Genomic DNA, 21,806 nt, shown 5'->3' on the forward strand with positions numbered 1-21,806 from the left:
TGTGCCCAAGGTAGTTGGGTTACAGCTTGGTTTTATACGTTTTAGGGAGACATAAGACATCAATCAATACATGTGAAGTAAACATGGGTTTGTCCTAGAAAGGCAGGATATCTCTAAGTAGGGTGTGGGTAGGGGATGTCTTTCAGATCATAGGTGGATTTCAAGTTTTTCTGGTTGGCAATCTGTTGAAAGAGTTAACTTATTATCTAAAGACTTGGAATCAGTAAACATGAGTGTATGAGTTAAAATAAGGTGTTGTGGAGACCAAGGATCTTATTATATAGATTAAGTCTCATGTGTGGCTGCCTTTAGAGACAATAGATGGCAAATATTTTCTATTTAGACTTTTAAGAGGTGCCAGACACTCCAGAAAAGACCCAGTAAGGGAAAGAGGTGCTCCAGAGAATGCAGATTTCTACCGCAAGAGACAGCTTTGCAGGGCCATTTCAAAATATGTCAGGGAAACATATTTGGGGGTAAAATATTTTTATTTCTTTCTTTACCTGTCATGTGATGTTATACTAGAGTCAAGTTGGAATTTGTTATCTTATTGCTAGAGGACTCTGTTCTGTCAGTCTTAGGATCTCTATTTTAATGTTAATACTGGTCAGTCCTGTCTAAACTCCAAGAGAGAGAGGGCATAATGAGGCCTGTCTGACGTACCTACCCCCTTCCTATCACGGCCTGGACTCATTTTTCTGGTTTCTTTGGAAGCCTGTTGGCCTAGAGAGGGGTCTATTCAGTCAGTTGGGGGCTTAGAATTTTATTTTTGGCTTACAATGTGAAGTCAGAGAACACTATTTCTACACTCCTATTAACTCTTAACCAGTGTTACCTGATGAAAAAAAATAAACTGCATATACTACTGAAATAGCTAAATATCTTAACACTTCCAAAAGACCAGTGTAAAACACTTCTTTATTTATATGTTAAATGTTTCTGGTTTTCATTTTCTGAGTCAGTGCCAAGAACAAATCATGCACACATCACATAGGACTATGAAATGAACCACAAATAAGACTTGCCAGACAGCAACTGGTTCAACTACAGACCAGCTTCACACATTACATCTTCAACATACACAGCAGCTGCACCATGAAGAACATGTGCCGACAGAAATCCTAAATAAATGAAGAATGATAACTTTCCTACTAGGATTAACTCGGGGAGATAGCTTGAGTTCCACAGTCTCAGTCTTTAATGGACTCAAAAAAAACTAGTAAATTATTTATATCATGAATGCCCAGGAATTTCATATAATTTTTTTTTAATAAACTTGTTATTTAAAATTGGAAAAGTCAAAATTAAGGTGAATTCTGCAATATCACATTTCCCGCTTACGTGAATAGAAATATCTGAAGAACTCAAGCTTGAATGTCTGATGAAAGGTTAGTGGGGTTTAAGAGTTGATTATCCTATACAGGATCTCTGAATTGCTCAAATGCAGTCTCCAAGATTGTGTAGACCACACATTAGCACCTTTAAAAACTCAGGATACAACTAATAGTGTATAATCACAGCATACAAGAAGGCACCTACAAAATGTAAGTAAAAGCCTATAGTTTATTTTTTAAAGTCTATAATAAATTTTTCCCACTGATTTCGCTAAGTAATATTACTCTAAACTCTGGCTTTGAAATTAGACAGATTTGAGCCTGGGTCCGGGTCTACAGATATCTGTAGTCTCCAGGCAATTTATTATCTTCTTTGAGTAAGTTTCCTGCGTTATAATGGTGAACAAAAACACTTCATAGGGTTCTAAAAGGGTAAATGAAATCATCTACGTATCATAGCTAGCACACTGCTTGGATCACAGTCATAAATGGCAGATATTACTGCTATTTTTACTTATACTGTTAACATCTACTACTTTTACTATTACTATTATTTACCATTAACTGCTACTACTAAGTGATCAAAGACGAGCATTGAAATCACTGGATATGAGAGTAGTAAGTAGAGTTCACTCATTTTCAACTACAGAAATAAAAGAATAAAAGTGACGACTATAAAAACACTGGATGTTGAATCATTCCTACTAAAATTTTCTCTATAAAGTACGTTATGGAGTTAACATTAGCTCTGCATGCTTGCAGCATTCTTTATTAAAATACAGAGGGAACCTCTTCTTTCTTTAGCCATTATCCTTTGGGAAGCCTGACCAAAAGATTCTAGAACATAAGGACCACAAAACAGCTGCAAACAACATTGACTATCTTTTTGAGATTTAAAATAGCTGGTGTTTGGCAATTAGAAACAAGAGACTAAATTGTACTAACAGCATATTTTTAAGCAAAAGTTATATTTATTAAGCTCACAGAATGTTGTGCATACTTAGACTTGTACCAAAGTGACCACCAGTGACATGTGAGGCAAGGTCTCTAACATCAATGAACTTATAACATATCTGACAACATAATATTATTATAGATGAAATAAAAGGAAACCATACAAAATAACACAGCTTCTACAAGCTGAAGATTAGCCAAGGATGAGTTCAGTGAAGACTGAAAGAGTTACCAAAAAAGTTCACTAAAGGAAACCGGGGTGGTGATGCATGCCTGGAGTCCCAGCTACTCAGGAGTTTGAGGCAAGAGGAGGCTTAAGCCTCCTTTTAAGAGTTTGGAGCTGCATTGCACAATGATGGTCCCAGTGAATAGCCTCTGCACTCTAGCCTGGGTACCATAGTGAGACCTCCTTACACCCCAAAAAAAGAAAAAGTTAACTAAGTGGTAAGAGATGTTATAACTAACCCCTGACAGGTAGCAGAGAAAAAGGCAAGACTTTCGAGGCAAGAGCTCCATCATAAACCAAGTCATGAGAAAAGGATCGAGCTTTACACATTTTCAGGAACAATGGATCACTGGTTTGCAAAGCACTTTGCAAAATAGCACAACCTAAAATTGCATACAAGTCAGCAAGCTGGTAACTTGAGAAAATCTCTGTAGGGAAAATTTGTCTACATCAAAATGCCAGGTGATTTGTGGATGGCAAAGACTGCAGACAGGAGAAGTTTGTGGGAGGCTGTGATAATCTACATATGAGGCAAAGAGGGTTTGGGCGGGGGTGATTGCAGAGGAGTAAAAAGGAAGAAGTAATCATAAGAAAGAGTCTGAAGGAAGATGGGCAGGTCATATTAACTCACTGGATATGGGGAAATGTAAGCCTCTGCTGAGTTAAAAAATAAAAATAAAGATTCCAAGGTTTTTAAGCCTGGATCCTTGAAAAGAATCATGAAGCCAAATAGAAACAGGGTCCAGGGATGTAGAGAATGGGACAAGAAGAGGAGAGTCGAATGAAAATTACACCAGACTGGTTGAGATATGGCATGTGTCTGTGGGGAACATTTAGGGATGGAGCTGTTGACTGGATACGACCAGCCTTGATGTGTGTGGGAGCCATCAGAACAGAAGATATCTAGACAAAGGAAAATAAGTTGGTTGTGGAAATAAATGCTTATAACCAGGAGACATTAAAGTCACACAGGTCAGTGGTGAGGCAGAGAAGATGTCTTTGGCACAGTGGCTCATGCCTGTAATCCCAGCACTTTGGGAGGCTGAGGTGGGTTGATCACGAGGTCAGGAGTTTAAGAGCAGCCTGGCTAACATGGTGAAACCCCGTCTCTACTACAAATACAAAAAATTAGCTGGGCGTGGTGGTGCATGCCTGTAATCCCAGCTACTCAGGAGGCTGAGGCGGGAGAATCGCTTGAACCTGGGAGGCAGAGGTTGTAGTGAGCCAAGATCGCGCCACTGCACTCCAGCATGGGTGACAGAGCAAGACTCTGTCTCAAAAAATTAAAAAAAAGAATGTCTCAGAAAGTATCTCTTTGAAACAACAAGCTCCATCTGTTTTCTAAACTACATATATGACGAAAAGGGTAAGATATGATTTATGTAATAAATGTCTATAACATGCCTCTGTGTACCAAACGTGGTCCAGGGAATGGGGACAGAGAGAAGGCCAAGGAATTGGAAATGAGGATATTGGTCTCTGCTTCCTACCTACTCCAGAGTCACTGATGCTTGACCATGACAGCTCTCAGCCCCACTCAGTTCCAAAAAGAATCTAGACCAATGCAATTAGTATCAGAATGACAGAATACAAAATCTGTCTTGCTATGGAAAAGCTAATAACTGATGCTTTGAAGTTGATGCCCAGTTATATCCACAGTCAAAACTTTCCCCCTATCTTCCAAGTTTATCCCCACTCTTTATTTTGATCATACAAAAATATTACCCCTGAAGACACAGCAATTTCGACTACGGCTGAACTTCTCTGAATTCAACCTTCCTCTAACTGAGTTAGCGCCACTTAATCAGGCCCACGTTTCTCTAGGCTCCTTAATGTCCCTACATAATACCATTCAGAGGCATTTTTTTCTTTTTTTTTTTTTTTGAGACGGAGTCTCGCTCTGTCTCCCAGGCTGAAGTGCAGTGGTGTGATCTCTGCTCACTGCAAGCTCCGCCCCCCAGGTTCACCCCATTCTCCTGCCTCAGCCTCCAGCGTAGCTGGGACTACAGGCGCCCGCCACCACGCCTGGCTAATTTTTGTATTTGTAGTAGACACGGGGTTTCACTGTGTTAGCCAGGATGGTCTCGATCTCCTGACCTAGTGATCCGCCCTCTTTGGTCTCCCAAAGTGCTGGGATTACAGGCATGAGCAACTGCTCCCGGCCTCAGTCATCTTTAATGACACTATTTTAAAGGAGACCTGAGGTTAGTAAAGTTATACAAATATTTCTCCTATTTCACATATATCTTAAAAAACATATTCGCTAACAATCTCAGAAATAATCTTCACTCTTTCAATGGAAAGCGCATCCTCAGCTTTAACTTTCTTATTGACAGCTGACCAGGGTAGCAGGTCTTCCCACCTTGAGGGAGGTCCACAGACACTGGAATCAGTGAATTGCAATCCAGATAGCCCTCACAGAATTACATCTTTCTTCCAGCATGGTTTGATTTCTGTGTATATCAGGGCTTACAGTCTTCTGCTCTTAGTAGCAACTGCTCTTTTTAAAATTCCATTCACTCTTTTTCAAAAATAAAATTGCAGCAGAAGTGCATGAAAAGAGATTCAAAAGAGCAAAAAACTTAAATAGTCCCAGAGTATCAAAAACCACATAAGAAAGAAAAATTCCTTCCCCATATTTAGTCAGGATTTAGCCTTGCATTAAGTTTCATAATATTCCCTCAAGCTGCAAATCAGATTGCAAAATTCAAATTCCATTTATTTCATCAGCTGCTTATAGTATTATAATAGCAATGAATTTAGTTTCAGAAGACCAAAAAGTAATATATAAGAGCAATTATTTATAGTTGTGGTTTTGTCAGAAAAACATTAACTTATTCAGCAAATAGTTTTGTTTGATTTTCAGACCTAGTCTGGTTCAAAAGAAATCCAGTTCAATAAATACTTGGGCATTACTAGATACGTCAAGATGAATAAGGTTCCATGGCCCTAATTTCTAGGAGTTCTAACTAGTAGGTCTGTACAGAATCTTAACAAATCAGACACAAGGTTTGGCAGGAATTGAGAATAGAGGCAGAGAGGAATGATGGTGCAAGGAGAATGAATTTTATCCTGTCTGGTTGAAGGAAGGGGTAGGCATTGAACTATTTTAAGCTGGAGCCTGATGCGATCCAATTTGCATTTTAGACAGATCACTATGGTGATGATGGGTTGGAAGGAGTCTGTTTGGGAAGCAGGGAAAATAAGGAGCTGCTGCATCAGTGGCAAAGCAAAGGAGAGGCTGCTTGGAGAGATACATGGTGAGTAGAACCTGGCTGGACATGGGTCAAAAGAAGAGAGACAGAATCTATCTCCTCTGCAAGTTCTTTTATGCTGCCCATAATATTCCCAACACTGAAGGTCCTGCACACACGAGAGAGGAAAGCTTCTCTCTGTACAAGGTACCTCCTGTTTGCCCTTGATGTTCGAAGTCCTAATGGCAGCAGGTATTCATCAACATGAACTGGGATGACCCAACCTTATATTCATGTGCATTCTTGTCGAATTTATATTCACTTTTCTTCACTAAGCCTTATGTAATGGAAAAGATAAAAAACTAGAGAAGTCAGGCCATCCTGGGGTTTTAGTGCTGGCTTTTTTCATAATGAGAGGTGTGACCTTGGGCAAATCATTTACCTTCTCTGAATCTGACTTGGTTGGTAAAATGTAGGGATTATGCCAGCTATAAATAAAATTTCTTCCAGATATGTGTTATTATCTAGTCCAAACAATTCTGCTCATCTATAAACCAGTTATTGGTATATATAGAAAATACTGATTAATCCCCAAAGCAGTTCAGGTTCATCATATACCAGACGGCTTCTTGAAGAGGAAATTCCCTGGACCACATGACAGGTAATGAATAAAAGAAAAAAACAACAAAAAAAATTCTTTAAATTAAAACAGAGACATAAAGAAAGCAAAACAATTCAATAAGATATGATTGCTGGAAAAGTGCTGATCTTGAATTAGATAGCTAAGTATATTGAGAAAATTATCCAGCGAGTTTAACTGTTGAGACTGAAAACTAAGGAGAGGCATGTACCTCTCCCGAACCAGTAAATCTATTCCCTAGTTGCTGAGTTGAACGCCAATTCCTTCCAGCCATCTTGCAAATGGGTTCTTTTAGTAAACACTTGCCATTTTAAAAATTGTTTTGTTTTTGTTGAGTAGGGTTCTCTTCTGAGAACAGCATCCCCCACTCTCTTGGGGAGCTACCCCTTTACTCATCTAAAGTCATGATCTGAGGGCTGCTATCTTACGATGTACCCTTCATTTTCTTGTTGCAATGATTTGATGGCTGTTGGGCTTCTGTCCTAACATCACCAATCAGTGTTCTTTTTTAGGATTTTTCCATTTGGAGCTGAGACATAGACTCCTTTCCTTTCTGATACTAAAGCTGGAAAGATACAGCCTCAAAGCTGTCAGTGGAAGAAGGTGTTCTGCTCAGAGAGAGAGAAAAAAAAAAGATGAGAGATAGAGATGGAAAGAAAAGGAACCTAGGCAGTGTTCAAACATCAGTGCCTGTTCGCTCCCGAGACTCCCAAAACTGCTCTGTTCCTTGCCTTGTAAAAATGTCTTTAACTCTTCCTTTGATCTTTATGCCTAGATTTTCTGCCAAAACTAGCTCAAGTTGGGTTTCTATAATTTGCAACAAAAAGTGTCCTGAACGATATAGTGATTTTTACCATAAGGAAGAAAAGTGGAAAGAGGTAGTTCAAAGCTCACTTCATCATCACTACTGGAAAGATAATTTATGTGCCCAAATACTAGTGGCATGTCAATGATATCATCTTTAGGTATAGCAAAAAACTTATCCTCTGAGTTATAGTACTTGCAGAACCACACAAACATGAGAGTGGACCTTGCCAGTAAAAAAGTACAGTTTATAAGCTTTTGTTTTTGTTGTTGCCATCAAAATGCAATAAGGTTTGAGTTATTTGCAGGAACTTTATGAACTCCCTTATTAAATGTTGATATTCAGTAAAACATGTGGAAAAAAAAGTCCATGTGGTATGCAAAGATGGATGTCTACATAGACTGTATCCTCACAGGACACTTTGAGAGACAGGTAGGAGAGAGGCATATATCTACCCATCACTGAAGGCCATCTGGACTATGTCAATGGAATGCAATCAGGCTAAACCGAGATGGCTATTCTATCTGCTTTTAACTTGACTTTGAGAATGAAAGAAATTAAAATTATTTTGACCTACAGTAAAAATTAGGCTTTAGCAGCTGGAAGGAAAGGGTAGGAGAAATAAAAATGAACATAACTACCAATCACTTTTCATGAGAGTCATTTACTGAACTTGAACAGCTGGGCTTTGAAAGCTCTGGGACATATTCAACAAGCTAGTGCTAAATTCATTGTGTTCTCACTTCGGCTGTATGGTAAACCAGCTTGACCTAAATCATCTTCACAGATTGTTTTATGTATCATCAGATCAAGTGTGTACATTGGGAGAAAGTGAGTTATCAAGAAGACAGGAAGGATAAAAGAAAAACTCTAAAGAAATGTGGAAGAGTGGATTCATGGACAAAGGATTTTAAAGCAGGGCTCTTAACATTTTTGTTCCGTAGACCCCTTTGGCAGCTTTATGAATCCTATGGGGCCCTTCCCTATCTCTATAAAGGGCATCATGATTTTTCCAGTTCTTCATGTCAAACATTCAGAATTCCTTATTTCCCTAAACCACAAGCTCAAGTGTAAGCTGTTAAGTTCTGTTGGCCCTCCCCAGTGCTTTCACCCTAGTCAAACCCCCCTGACCTAGTTTACTGTAAAATCCTACTAACTATCCTGCATCTACTCTTTACCCACTTCCCTATACTCTAATCTATACATAGCAGGAAAAAGAAAACTATTCTGTAAAATTCTAAATCATATTAGATCACTGCCTGCATAAAACACTTCAATGGCTTTATGGTTTAATTTAAATAAAATTGACACCATTGTCCTATGGCCTCCAAGATCCTATGTGATCTGAACCCTGAACCAGTGATACAATAATGATAGCTAACATTTATTGAGCACCTACAATATTCTATGCCCTGTTCTAATTGTTTATTTTCTTATCTTTCAACCATTTCATGAGTTTATAATTATTTATACGTGTTTTAATGATGCGGAAACTGAGACACAGCTAACTTAGATAATTTGTGCAATGACAAATAAATAATAAACACAGGTCTGCAGGTCTGTTATTTGAACCCAGAAACTATAGCTCCTAAGCCCACATTCAAACACTACACCGTTTCACTTCTCACCTCTTCCCGTTTCCTGCTTCCTGTGATCCCAGGTGACTATGTGACAAACACTCCTCTTTCTGTTCCTTGAATGTATTAAGCTAATTCCTGCTCTCAAGGACTTGTACCTGTTGTTTACTTCTCTGAAAATTCTTCCCCCAGATCCTCATATGGTGGATACCTTCTCATTTCTCAGGATGAGGCTTATTACAGGCACTAGCAATTGCCTATCCCAATTATTGGGGACAGGTTCTCAGAAAAATCAACACTGAAACAAAGGATCTCTCAGCAAGGCTAGTTTACTTTCTGCAGAAAGGGTGTCACTCACTAGCAATCTTGTCACAAGAGCACACACGAACAAAGGAGACAGGGTCATTTATAACGTGACGCATCCACCCTACTGCTGTGTCCGGTTTCCATTGGCTGGAACAAGACCTCACATTCTGTACTTGTCCTGATTGACTAGCAATGTAAAACTTCCTAAAAGAGGCAAAGGCAGAGGAGAACAAAGGAAAAGAGGAAGTAACTTGTGGAATGGTGAGAGAGTCAAAAACACTTCCAAATAAGGAAAGAGGAATAAGCTATGACCTAATGCTTGCTTGGACATGTTCAGGCATGCTGGGACAAATATCTAGGCTAAAATGTGGGAGCTAAGAGCACGGAGTGTATTGATTTCTTAATTATGGCTAGCAGATATTTAAGAATATTAGCACAGATCTTTGAGTAAATTTTGCTTCTAAGAGAGGTTACTATCTATTCTCAATAAGTTCCTTAGAAGAGGAATGAACCTCTACTTCATTTTGTACACCAATCTATCCCCTTTTGTGTACCTAATTTTTTAATTGTTTACCCTTCTCTGTTTGTTCTTGTACTTAGGAAAAGTGATGCAAACCCAAGCTCCAGTGACTGACTCTCAATCAGGCTAACTAAAACTTAGACTCTGCACCAGTCATGGTAACATCATTCCCCATGCAAGTAATAGAATTTTGGCCAATATGGTATAATATGAAGTCTGCTGGGAACAAAGATTTCTGATATGGTTTGTCTGTGTCCCTACCCGAATTTCATCTTGAATTGTAGCTCCCATAATTCCACATGTTGTGGGAGGGACTCCGTGGGAGACAATTGAATCATGGGGATGGTTTCCTCCATACTGTTCTCATGGTAGAGAGTAAATCTCAAGATAGCTGATTGTTTTATAAGGGGAAACCCCTTTTGCTTGGCTCTTATTCTCTCTTTGCTTGATGCCATGGAAGACATGCTTTTCACCTTCCACCATGATTGTGAGGCCTCCCCAGCCACATGGAGCTCTGAATCCATTAAACCTCTTTTTCTTTATAAATTACCCAGTCTCAGGTATGTCTTTATCAGCAGCATGAAAAACAGACTAATACAATTTTTTTTGCTGGTAAAAAAAGAGACCTGTGGAAGAAACTGTTTCTTTTTGCCAATGAACTTTGCCTAATGTGGATGAGGACAGAATGTCTAGAAGTGTCATTCCATCTTTTGAGCAAGGTTGCAGCCAGTCCACATGCTGAGATAGGCATGTAAGAACAAATATTTCCTTACACCTTTACCCTCTGAACTATTCCCAGAGCCCTTCTACCTTAAGACATCTTTTGTTTTCTTAAGAAATGGGGTCTGTCTTTGTTGCCCAGACTGGCCTCAAACTCCTAGGCTCAAGCCATCGTCCCACCTCAGCCTCTAAAGTAGACGGGACTACAGGCACGCACCACCATGCCTGGCTTAAGGCATTTTTTATGTAAGATAACAATTCCCCTATTATTTAAACTATTGTGTGTTCAGTTTTCTGTTACATGCCACCGAAAACATTCTGGTGGAACCATAGCTAAACTGTTGCTTCTGCAGAGAGGCCTTCCCTGGCCATCTGATAAAAGGTATTTTCTTCTGCACTTTCTCTCTAGCAAATCCTCATGGTTTTCTTTTCATAGCACATATTCTGTCAAAGTATCATTTTAAAATTCATTTACCATTTACTTTCCTCACTGAAATGTAAACTCCCTTAGAAGAGGAATCTTGCCCATGTTGTCCATTGCTCGATCACCAGTGCCGAGAATACTGCCGCATTCCTCCACTTAAAATGTTAACCTTGGAAAATTCTCTCAATATCTCTGCATCCCAGTTGGACTGTAAAGATCAAGTTAGTTACTTTATGTAAAATGCCCTAGAAAGTGCCTGACACACAGTTGATGTTCAATCACAACAGCTTTTAATGTAACTGTTATTCTAATGTAGGCACTCAATAAATATTTGTTAAATCAATAAAAATATGAAACAATGAATCTCTGAAATGTGATGTGATTGCCCTCTACATTAGAACACGGTAAGGGAAGGATTTGTCTTATTCAAAAGAAACAGATTTTTTAAGTGGAGAAGCAGACTAGTGTTAAAGGTTAAAAAGATTAATGCTGCATAGACATCTCCATTTCCCAAAGGCAGAGCACACTAGAAAGCAGTAAGTAATAACATCACTGGCCATATGGCCCCACCACGATGCAGGAATTAGTGGTGAACAAGACAGGCAAGGTTCCTGTTCTCATCAGCAGTGAGCCAAGATATCAACCAGCCATGAATAGACAAAAAGACTTATCTAGCTAAAAGCCAACTATGTAAAAGGTTCTTGAATATCATTAATGACAATTTAATCTCTAAAACGACAAGGAAATAGCCAGAGGAAACAACCACTTTGGACCTAGCTCTGACAACAAGGGGAACTTATTGATGAAGTGAAAGTAATGTGAAATCTAAAAGAAAGTGACCATGCTATCTTGAATTTTGACTTTTCCAAGGAAAAGAAAACTGGACATCACGAGTTGTACACCCTAGACTAGATGAATGTCTGCAAAATGTTTAGAGAAAAGATATGCATTATTCATGGCATGAGACTCCTAAGGAGATTATGACTCAAAAGTGTTATGATGTTCTCAAAAATACAATTTTGAGAGCAATTGCTAAATGATAAAATGAGGAGGAAAGGGGAAAGAAAACTAAACAAAAATGTAGCTTCAGATATTTTTTAAAGAAAAATACAATTGAAAAGTATTCATGTATTTTGTATTCATCATCTTGGTAATACAGTGCTAGGAACATAGCAAATAGAAAGTATTGTTAAGTGAGTGAAGGAAAAAATGAATGATGAGGATGAAAATGGTAGGGCAAGTTAGATTCACGTCAGAGTCACTAGAGTCCCAAATGAGATGAGATTAGGAGGAGGGAGGATTAAAAATACCAAAATAACTTATGGAGCAAAAGAAGGCCTGTGACTTTGAATTAATGACATAATGGTGATATAAAGATAATGGTGTTCAACCTCCAAAACCCCAGCTGAACATTATTAGGAAGAAATTGAACCCCAATGAGGGTAAAGACTATTGGACAGCACCTATAAGTTCTAAATGAACTCATATCTCCTTATAATGATGAATTATAAACACAGTATAAAATAGTTTGCCATTGAGATCTCTGGGAACTAAGAGCAGCATTAGGAGACCAAAAATGGATGAAACTGAATTCAAAAAGCTTCAGGGAGGTATATTTGTGATGGATTCCCAACAGCATTCCAAGTAGCTAATCACAAAGCAAACATAACCAAGTTTCTTCCTTTGATACTATTATTAATCTGGTAAATCATCTAGATTTATGCAAGAGAATTAACATTGTTTTTTATGACTGATCTGGTGTGGGTATTTGTCCCCTCAAAATCTCATGTTAAACTGTAATTCCCAGTGTTGGAGGTGAGGCCTAGTGGGAGGTGTTTGCATCATGGGGGCGGACCCCTCTTGAATGGCTCAGCACCATCCCCTTGGTGATGAGTGAGTTCATGTGAGATCTGGTTGTTTAAAAATGTGTGGCACCTCCCTCCCCCTTGCTCCAGCTCTCGCTATGTGACATGCCGGCTCCCTGTCACCTTCTGTCATGAGTAAGAGCTCCCCAAGTGCTCCCCAGAAGCCAAGCCATGGCTAGCACCATGCTTCCCATACAGTTTGCAGAACCATGGGCCAATTAGAACTCTTTTCTTTATAGGTTACCCAACCTCAAGTATTTCTTTATAGCTACACAAGAACAGACTAATACAATAACCTTCTTTGAGACACTCTGGAATAATAAGGTTTGGATGCCAGTTTAATGTAGCAAATTAGTGATTGGCTACATTCAAAGGGTAGCTACTGGATTATGTCAACCTGGAGGAAATAGTTGAGTGGGGTGCCGCAGTGCTTTCTTCTTAGCTTTGTCATATTCAACGTTTTAAAATCAATCATTAAAAATGTTGAGGTTGTCATCATTACATTTTCCAATGATAAATGGCTTGGTAGTATTGCAAAAATACTCTTTCACAGAATCGGATCCAAGGGGATGTTAGGAGCTTCGGTTAATGGGCTACATTTGACAAGAGTGAGTTGAATAAGGATAAATGGGTGATCCCTGAACTCAAGTCCAGAATATTAATGACACAAAAGCACGATATAATAATGTATCTAACACCATTTTTTGATATTTGACTACTGCCATACTTTAATCCTCACTCCTCATTCTTTCCCTTTTGCCCCACCTCTGGGAAAGCTTTTACAACAGCCTGGGTGTTTCCTTCTTTGGCTCCTGCAGGAGATACAAACCACACAAGCCCTTCCCCACACGTGGGTACCTTGACCCAGCTCCAACCTCCTTCCACAATATAAATATGGAGCCAGTATCCTTTCCTTGAGAAGCCCATCCTGATTTCTGAGACTTCTATTTTGTAAGTAATAAACCTTTTCATACCCTTGGTGTTGGAGTATAGCATTATCAGTCTTGACATCCAAACTGAATTTTAGTGGGGGTCCATCAGCCTCTGCACAGTGGATATAACCCGGAGGTGGAGGGATGGAGGAGGATGCAGGTTAGGAGTAGCACGCAGGAAAAAGACTCAGAGGGTAGGCTGGGAAAGTCAGAAACAGAAAGCTCAGTACAAGTCCACACTATGGTAGAGCTGCCAGAAGACTAAAGTGATCTTAAGGGGCTTTAGTCCAAGTGGACACGTAGGAGGAGAGGAAGCAGTCTGCCCAGTTCTGTGTGGGTCAACTACCTAGGAGCCCTCACGACTATCTTCTCTTCTCTTACATAACTCTCTCCCTTTTGGTGATAACCTTCAAGCACCTCTATTTAAATCCCATCTCTGTGCGGATAATTCTCACAAGTTTATCTCCAACCCAGACCTCCACTCATGTGGCGATGGGCAGCTCGAACTTGATAGATCCAAAGCTGAACTCCTTATCATCCCCCATCAACCTGCTCCTCACTCCCTATACCCACTCTTCTCAGCTCAGTAAATGGTGACTCAGGCTGAAAGTCTTGCAGTTATCCTTGACACCACTTTTTTCCTTCACAACCCACTTCTGATTCACTAGCAAATCTTATCAGCTCTAGCTTCAAATTATATCCAGAATTCAACTGTTTCTCACAGATTCCACTGCTATGCCAGTCCACATGCCACCATCATGTCTTGCCTACATTGTTGTGGTAGTCTCCTAACTGGTCCTCCTGCTTCACTTTCTATCTAATCAACACCAGCACTAGCAACCGGAGTGTTTCTGCTAAAAGCAATATCAAGTCACTCCTCTGCTCCAAATGTTCCAACAGTTCCTCATTGCTCTCAGGTTCATAGCCAAAGTTCTTAATGATCTAACCCCACTGTGACTTCATCTCCTAATTCTGCTCTAGCTTTTCCTTTTCCACCACACTAGCCTCCTTACTATTTTGTTTTCATTTTCTTAACATACCAGCCTTGCCCCACCTCAAGGCCTTTGAACTTGCTCTTTCGTCTGCCTGGAACTCTCTTTCTCCAAATATCCACAAACTCATTCCTTCATGTTCCTAAGTCTTTACTTAAGACTTATCTCCTCAGTGAGGCATTCCTAGGTCACCTTAGGATTTGTTTAAAGGGACAAAAAAGATCATTTAAGTGATCACCAACAAGAATATGGGCATATTGGATATTTTTTAGTCAATGACAGAACTTCAAGTCATACCGGACAAAGGAAGGAAGAATGAAATGCAGATGCTCAGCCTGGAGAAGAGGAAACATGCAGAAGAGGCAAATGGAGATTGGTTTGACGTGATAGAAAGCTTCAAACTTTTCATAGCTGTATTACGAACGGGCTTATCCTATTTTGTTTGTATTTCTAAGTTACCAATTGGCATAAATAAATGGAAACTACAGGAAGACAAATTTCAACTCAATTCAGGATCTTTTACATAGTCCAAGCTTTCCAATGATATCCTGGGATCCACTGAAGGAGAAGTTTCTCCTTCTTGAAGGCTTAGAATGAGTGAAAAAGTCATAGAGATGATGGTCACACTAGATACACAATTTTATGCCGGTCTATGATACTTTTATTCTGTGAATGAAATTATACGGCTGACTTATACTGAATGTATCATTTGGACAAATGGAAATGGAGAAAATAATTTTTTTTTTTGAGACAGAGTCTCACTCTTTTTGCCCAGGCTGGAGTGCAATGGTGCAATCTCAGTTCACTGTAACCTCCGCCTCCAGGGTTCAAATGATTCTCCTGCCTCAGCCTCCCGAGTAGCTGGGATTACAGGTGCATGCCACCACACCTGGCTAATTTTTGTATTTTTAGTAGAGATGGGGTTTCGCCATGTTGGCCAGGCTGGTCTCAAACTCCTGACCTCAGGTGATCTGCCTGCCTCAGCCTCTCAAAGTGCTGGGATTACAGGTGTGAGCCACCGCCCCCAGCCAAGAAAATGTTTTAAAATTAAGTATGGGACACAACTCAATAGCTTGCAAACCTAAATTTGATTTAGTAATGTTTCCAGTTTTCTAAATCAGTTTAAAATGTTTAAGACCTATAAATATTTCATTCTATTTGAAAATTCCAATTGTCATCTCTCAATTTTCTATACTAATTTTTATGCCCCTCCTTCCTCTCCTTCTTTCTCCCCAATACACACACACACACACACACACACACACACACACACACACTCAAGTTCTAATCACTATAAGCACTACTAGCTCTGATTTTTCTAGAATGTCCTCAACATTTGCTGAGATTCAAGTTAGAAACAGAGGACAAAGGATGCTGCTGGAATATCTCTTGTTTAAAAAAAAAAAAAGCATTGCAGACTTGGAAAGAGTAGTATAGTCATCTAACTTCCTTTCAAAACATAAAATTCCAAGTTAATACCTTCTCTGTCAATAGAAAAGGATCACCACGTGTGAAGTAAACCCTAGATTGCAAAGGCAGAGACATGATTCTTTTGTATATTCCCACAAGACAAAGTGTAATGCCTTAATTGTAACTGGTACTCAATAAATGTCGACTGCCAAATATATACTTCCCTGAAAACCTGGCAGAATATGCATTAGAAAACCTTGAGCTTATCCTAGCTTCTTTACTTTTTAAAGTTCCAAAGGCTTTGTTTAAAGGGACATAAAAGATCATTTAAATAAACCAACTTATTAATAATCATGCTATGAATGGATCTCATAGGATTAGAACTGTTTTACTTCATTTAGATTGCTTTTCATAGATATGGCTTTGCTGTCTACTTTTCTTGATTACAGTTCCATATCTAACACATTCATCAGCTGAGTGCTTCATCCTTTTCCTTAGGTCTTGGTAAAATTGAACTAATTCCCATTCCATATCCTATTGAGAGTCTAATGCAAACTTTAAGAGGGGCAGGGGTGAGGTAGGGATGTGTATTTGGTTTGGGAAGGGTAGGTTCTCATGCTCCATCTGGCTCCAAAACCTAGCTAAATTAACTCAGTATCTCCACAAACTGTTCCTGTTCTGCACAATATCAATCTACCATATGAGTAATATAGCCCCTTTCCTTGATTTCCACCAAAAACAAAAATAAAAGAAACAAAAAGGAGCATTCCAAAATCCTTTGTATGTAAAGCAGACTTTACAAAAGTTTTGGAAAGACAGAAGCAACATACACACACACAACACACACACACTCCTCTAAATAAGAATATAAAATATTCCCATTCTTCTATGTCTCTTTCCACTGTAAGTTCCAGCTCCCAGAAAGTTCTATCTATCTTCCTGCTTTTTCTTCACCCAAAAATCCTTTCTTATGTCTTACACACAGCAGTATGGCAATATTAACATTTCTTAGAAATCCAGTGAAAAAATCTTGAGTCATCTTTGACATTTCCTTTTCTTGCATCCCCTATAACTTAACTGTCCCTAAATCTACTTTTGTCCTTTAGTTGTCACTTGGAATGATCTCCCTAGATTCCCACCATCTCATCCCTAGACCAGCCCTATATCTTTCCAAGTTAATTTCATAACACAGACCTCCACAACTCACAGAAAGCCCAGCTACTATCTGTACTAGACACAACTTCTGTCTCACCTTTTCTCTTGTTATGTTCACATTCTGTAGCACTCTCCTGTAAATCCCTTGTTTATTCAAATCCTACCCATGGTTGAAGACCACCCGCTAATCCCATACCCATGTTGAAGACTTCAAGCCCAAATTTCTCTCTTCCTTTGCCAAATTATTGTTTAGACAGCAGTTAAAAACCTAATCACTTTCAAGTATGCTTTTTGTATGTTTGTTTCTTTTCTGTTTCCCAAATCTGACTTGGATACACAAGAATGCAGAAAATTGTCTTATGTTTAATCGCGTCCTCTTACAGCCAAGCTCAGGTCTGGACAAACAAGGGCTACTTTAGTTTATTGAACAAGATCACGTAATGGTTATGAATGCAGTCTGAGGAAGACTATCACTTACTTGCCATAGGATCTCAGGGCAAATTTCTTAACTTCTCTAGGCTTTGGTTTCCTTGTCTGCAAAATGAGGATAATGTGAGTGACAAGTGTCATGAGGAAATCAAATTTGATAATGCACATAAAGCATAATGTCTGTGACATTTCAGTCTGGCCACTTTTAAGGATCAACTGGAAAGAGCATTTGAGCTCATCTACTCTAACACCTTCATTTTGCAAATAGGAATATTAAGTCCCAGGGAGATTAATTAAACTGGAAGACTAGAGTCTGCTTCTAAGGGAATCTGTTGGTGACTTTCTCAAGGTCCTTCCTGGCTTGGGGCAGATGGAGGACTAGAGTCCCTCCAATTCCTCCCATCTCCCTCAGCCCGATGTCCTTTCTACAGCATTCTGATGCCACCAGAATTAATTTTGGAGGTTAGAAAACCTTCAAGTGATTGAGAAAACTCTAAGTCAGTGGTTGTACTTGAGGTATTATTAGATTCTAGAGGACAGCTTTTAAGACACCTTTAGATTGTTATGATAACAAATTAATTTTAAAATCAATAAAGAATTAAAAGATGTTATCTGTGATTCTAAACAGCAAGAGGATGCTGCTGAATCATTTCTTTCCCTTAGCAGAAAACAAAGTTGATTGTAATATTTATACCCTCAATGCTCTTATACCTAAAAAACCTCTATCGTAAGCTTTTAAAAGTATGTGTGTGTATGTGTACATATTCGAATAAGTCCACACAAGTGTGTGCACATGAGCATATGCATCTGTTGATTGAGGCGGGAAAAGAAATCTACATGACCTTAGAATTGGAGAGGCTCCCTAAGATAGACTGGGAAAATCCAGGCAGAATCTCCAACAGAAGAACCTCCTGTGGCTCACCTTTCACCTGAAAGAATTTCAGAGACAATGGGTGACTTCAAGAGACCATCAGGGAACAAATTCTCCTATAGCACAATCTGTAATGACTAAGCCCCATCAGTCAGCGCACAATGGGGCTTTTTAGTATCTGCTTACATCCAGCTCTATTGTCCCTGCCATCTGTGACCAGCCTTCCTTCTCCCCACCTGAACACATGCCTTCTCATATACACAAGTACAGGCATACACCTCAGGGATAACCACTCTCCTTGTAGAAACTGTACAATGTTTGCTAAAGCATAGTCCCACTGGGAGTTGACTCAATTCCTGGGAAATCCAAGGGATTGTAAACAAAATAGAACCTATTTCTACTAGGACTGAACTAACTGAAAAATTTTGGAAACTAGAATTTGCTGAATACTTCCCATGCTCCATCTACTCTTCTAAGGATTTCCATGAACAGTATTGTTACTTTTGTCATATTTACAACTCTATACCAACTCCTCAAATAACACCCAGTAGATACTAAAACAATATTTAGTGAATGAATTCACCCAAGATCACACAGTAAGTGGTAAAACAAGAAATCAAACTAGGATGTAACTGACTCCAAAGACCATACTCTTTAGCCACTAAACTGCGCCATCTTCAACCCTACGCTACTTCCCCTGAGAAGTGTACTTCTTGTTATGAACTGAATGTTTGCATCCCACCAAAATTTATATATTCAAGCTTTAACCCCCAGCATGACTGTATTTGAAGATGGGGCCTCAAAGGAAGTCATCGAGGTTAAATGAAGCCATAAGGGTAGGGCCCTGATGTAATAGGATTAGCATCATTATAAGAAGAGACACCAGAGTGTGCACTCTCTCCCAACAAGCATACACTGAGAAAAGGCCATATGAGGACATAGGAAGGCGGTAGTTGTATGTAAGCCAGGAAGAGAGCCCTCACCAGAAACGGAATTGGCTAGAACCCTGATCTTGGACTTTGAGCCTCCAGAACTGTGAGAAAACAAATTTCTGATATTTAAGCCACCTAGTCTATGGCATTTTGTTGTGGCAGTCTGAGCAGACTAATATACTTTTAATACTAAAATTTCCCCAGCTCTGGGTTATATATAATTCTTGTGATCTGAGTTGTTCTTGTGCACGCCAGGGTATGTGCCACAAGGAAAAATAAATATGTTTCAAATGAAAAGTATAGGAAACAAAAGACCACCACCCATTTTAATACATAATTGTATGCAGAACCCCAGCATACTTAAAAAGAAAAAAAAACCCTGTTTTTCTGTCAAGTTCTACCCATACCCCCCAAGCAGAAACTTTAATAGGAAACAAAGGTGGGGATATCACATAATATGTAGTTATTACATATTCAAAATAGTTATTAGAACATATTGATGTAGGAATGACTCATAATTCAGATGTGTGAAAGCTCAATATCGAAACAGCAGTATTCTTTTTTACCTCAAGCATTCTTCTTTATTTCTACATAGTATATAACAGAATCTACAAAGAAACATTTATAGCCACACAGCAGAGCATGGAGTTGAGTGAGAGCCCGGAGTCCTATAAAAATGCTGGAGACTTTTCCCTGGAATCTTGGAATCCTGGACAGCTCCAGAAACTGTCCAGAGCTCCTGAGTAGTGATCTCACAGCTCTCTGATGGCCACAGTAGGAAACAGGGTGAAGTCAGACCCCTCTAAAAGCCTTTCAGAATGGTCTCCACCTCAGCAAAAATATTTGAAAGGCAGGTAGCCATAATCTGGCACTCTAGTGGAAAGACTGCCTGTAGTCTGCTGGTGTGAGCCACCGCACAGCCTGCTGTATGGCTATTAGGCTCGAAATTGTTTACCACTATGTCCCTGAAACCAAAATTACAGTAAAAACCCAGTAAATCATCCTTTCCTGCATCAGCAACACCAGACTAATTATCTACATCACAAGAAACCTGCACCTGCGTAGAAAACCCTTCTCCACATTGAAGAACACGACAGTCTGAAATTAGGACCTCACTGAAATGTTTCATCAGGCAGACCTAGTTTTGCTATAAAGAAGCTACCACCCACAGTTATCTGAAACTTATTTATTCCTCCCCCAAATTGCCGGCTGGCCATAATACAGTCATCACTTTCATGTAAAAGGTTTTCAGCACAATAGAGCTCACTCCTATGCATCATCTGAAGCAATATAAGCTAAATAGCCACAAGCCTGTAGAATGTTAAGAGGTGAGAGGCAATAGATATCATCCAGTTCAACTCCTTCATTTTAGAGATGAGACAACTGAAGTCCAGAGAGTCAAAATAACTTAATAAAGTTCACACAAGTGAGTGAATGCATTCTATTTCTCTAGTAATTTTCTTTTTTGTACAAACTCCATCTCTGCCTACCTCCTTTCTCTTCTCTGTTCCTAGCCATTGTCTCACTGTAACCCCAGTAAACTACAAAGGCGGTGACATAACCTAGGCAGCTAACTTTCTGCAAGCAGATTCTCACCGGAAAACTGGCACTTGGTGCTTTGGCAGAGAATGTGATAAAGCAGGAGCAGAAAAGAGTGCACCATCTGGACAGAAGGACGCTTAGTGCCAAGTGGGCCCCAGCCACGGGGAAGAAGAAGGAAAAAGGAAGGGTGTCACCCAACTGCACACATTCATTTTCCCTTTGAGGGGATTTGTTAGTAACCATGCTATTCTGAGTGGAAGCCGTTGTAGGTGGTTCTGATGGCTGACGAATGTGTAGGCAAGGATGAAACAAGGTGAGTGGTAGCCAGGCAATTTGCAAATGATTGTGAGCCAGAAATAGTCGGTGGTGTCTGATTACTATGTATGAATGAAGGGATACGTCTTTGAAGGGTAAAAGTATGTGTGTGTTTTCCCCCACTTACTCTCCTCTTTCTTTTTAGGAAAGTAGCAAGCACAAGATTTTCCCTGACAGTACCTAGAAAAAAATCTTATATTTAACACCACCCACTGACATTTCTCTGCTCTTGCTACATTTTAATCATACTAATATTTTCCTATGCTGTGGCCACGTGTTCCACCTATGAAAACCATACTTGTGTACACAATGGTTTTCAAGTCAATTGGAAGCATCATAGTTGCTTCAGAGGTTCTCCTCTTAGTGATTCTAGCTTTCTATGCACAAATTGCTATCGGCAATAATATGCGTCTTAATTATGATTTTCTGTTTTTGTTATGAAGATGGCTCTAGTGAACTATACCACATTGGAGGCATAAGTATTTTAAGTTACCTTCCCCAGTTTAAGACCAGCCTGTCCAACATGGTGAAACCCCGTCTCTACTAAAAAAAAAAAAAAAAAAAAAATAGCTGGGTGTGGTGGCACGTGTCTGTAGTCCCAGATAGTCAGGAGGCTGAGGCAGGAGAATCACTTGAACCCGGGAGGCAGAGGTTGCGGTGAGC

The 21,806-nt window shown here is 39.5% G+C and overlaps 1 long non-coding RNA gene across 1 annotated transcript in view, besides 2 other annotated features; it reads right to left on the reverse strand.

Moving 5' to 3' along the window:
• STXBP5-AS1 (STXBP5 antisense RNA 1) overlaps positions 1-21,806 on the reverse strand; it is a 363,227-nt gene that overhangs the window by 193,666 nt on the left and 147,755 nt on the right. The window lies entirely within an intron of this gene.
• Positions 8,974-10,173: an enhancer, noted in NCBI's record as "MED14-independent group 3 enhancer chr6:147365163-147366362 (GRCh37/hg19 assembly coordinates)". NCBI's record gives its function as "activates an origin of replication core promoter dependent on BRD2, BRD4, P300/CBP and CDK7 cofactors, and independent of MED14, by STARR-seq in HCT116 cells {active_cell/tissue: HCT116}" and the evidence as "EXISTENCE:reporter gene assay evidence [ECO:0000049][PMID:35650434]".
• Positions 18,111-18,775: an enhancer, noted in NCBI's record as "OCT4-NANOG hESC enhancer chr6:147374300-147374964 (GRCh37/hg19 assembly coordinates)". NCBI's record gives its function as "activates a minimal SCP1, AML or CMV promoter by ChIP-STARR-seq in naive and primed H9 embryonic stem cells {active_cell/tissue: H9 hESC(naive and primed)}" and the evidence as "EXISTENCE:reporter gene assay evidence [ECO:0000049][PMID:30033119]".

Source organism: Homo sapiens, chromosome 6 (assembly GCF_000001405.40).
Source record: "Homo sapiens chromosome 6, GRCh38.p14 Primary Assembly".
Taxonomy (NCBI): Eukaryota; Metazoa; Chordata; class Mammalia; order Primates; family Hominidae; genus Homo; species Homo sapiens.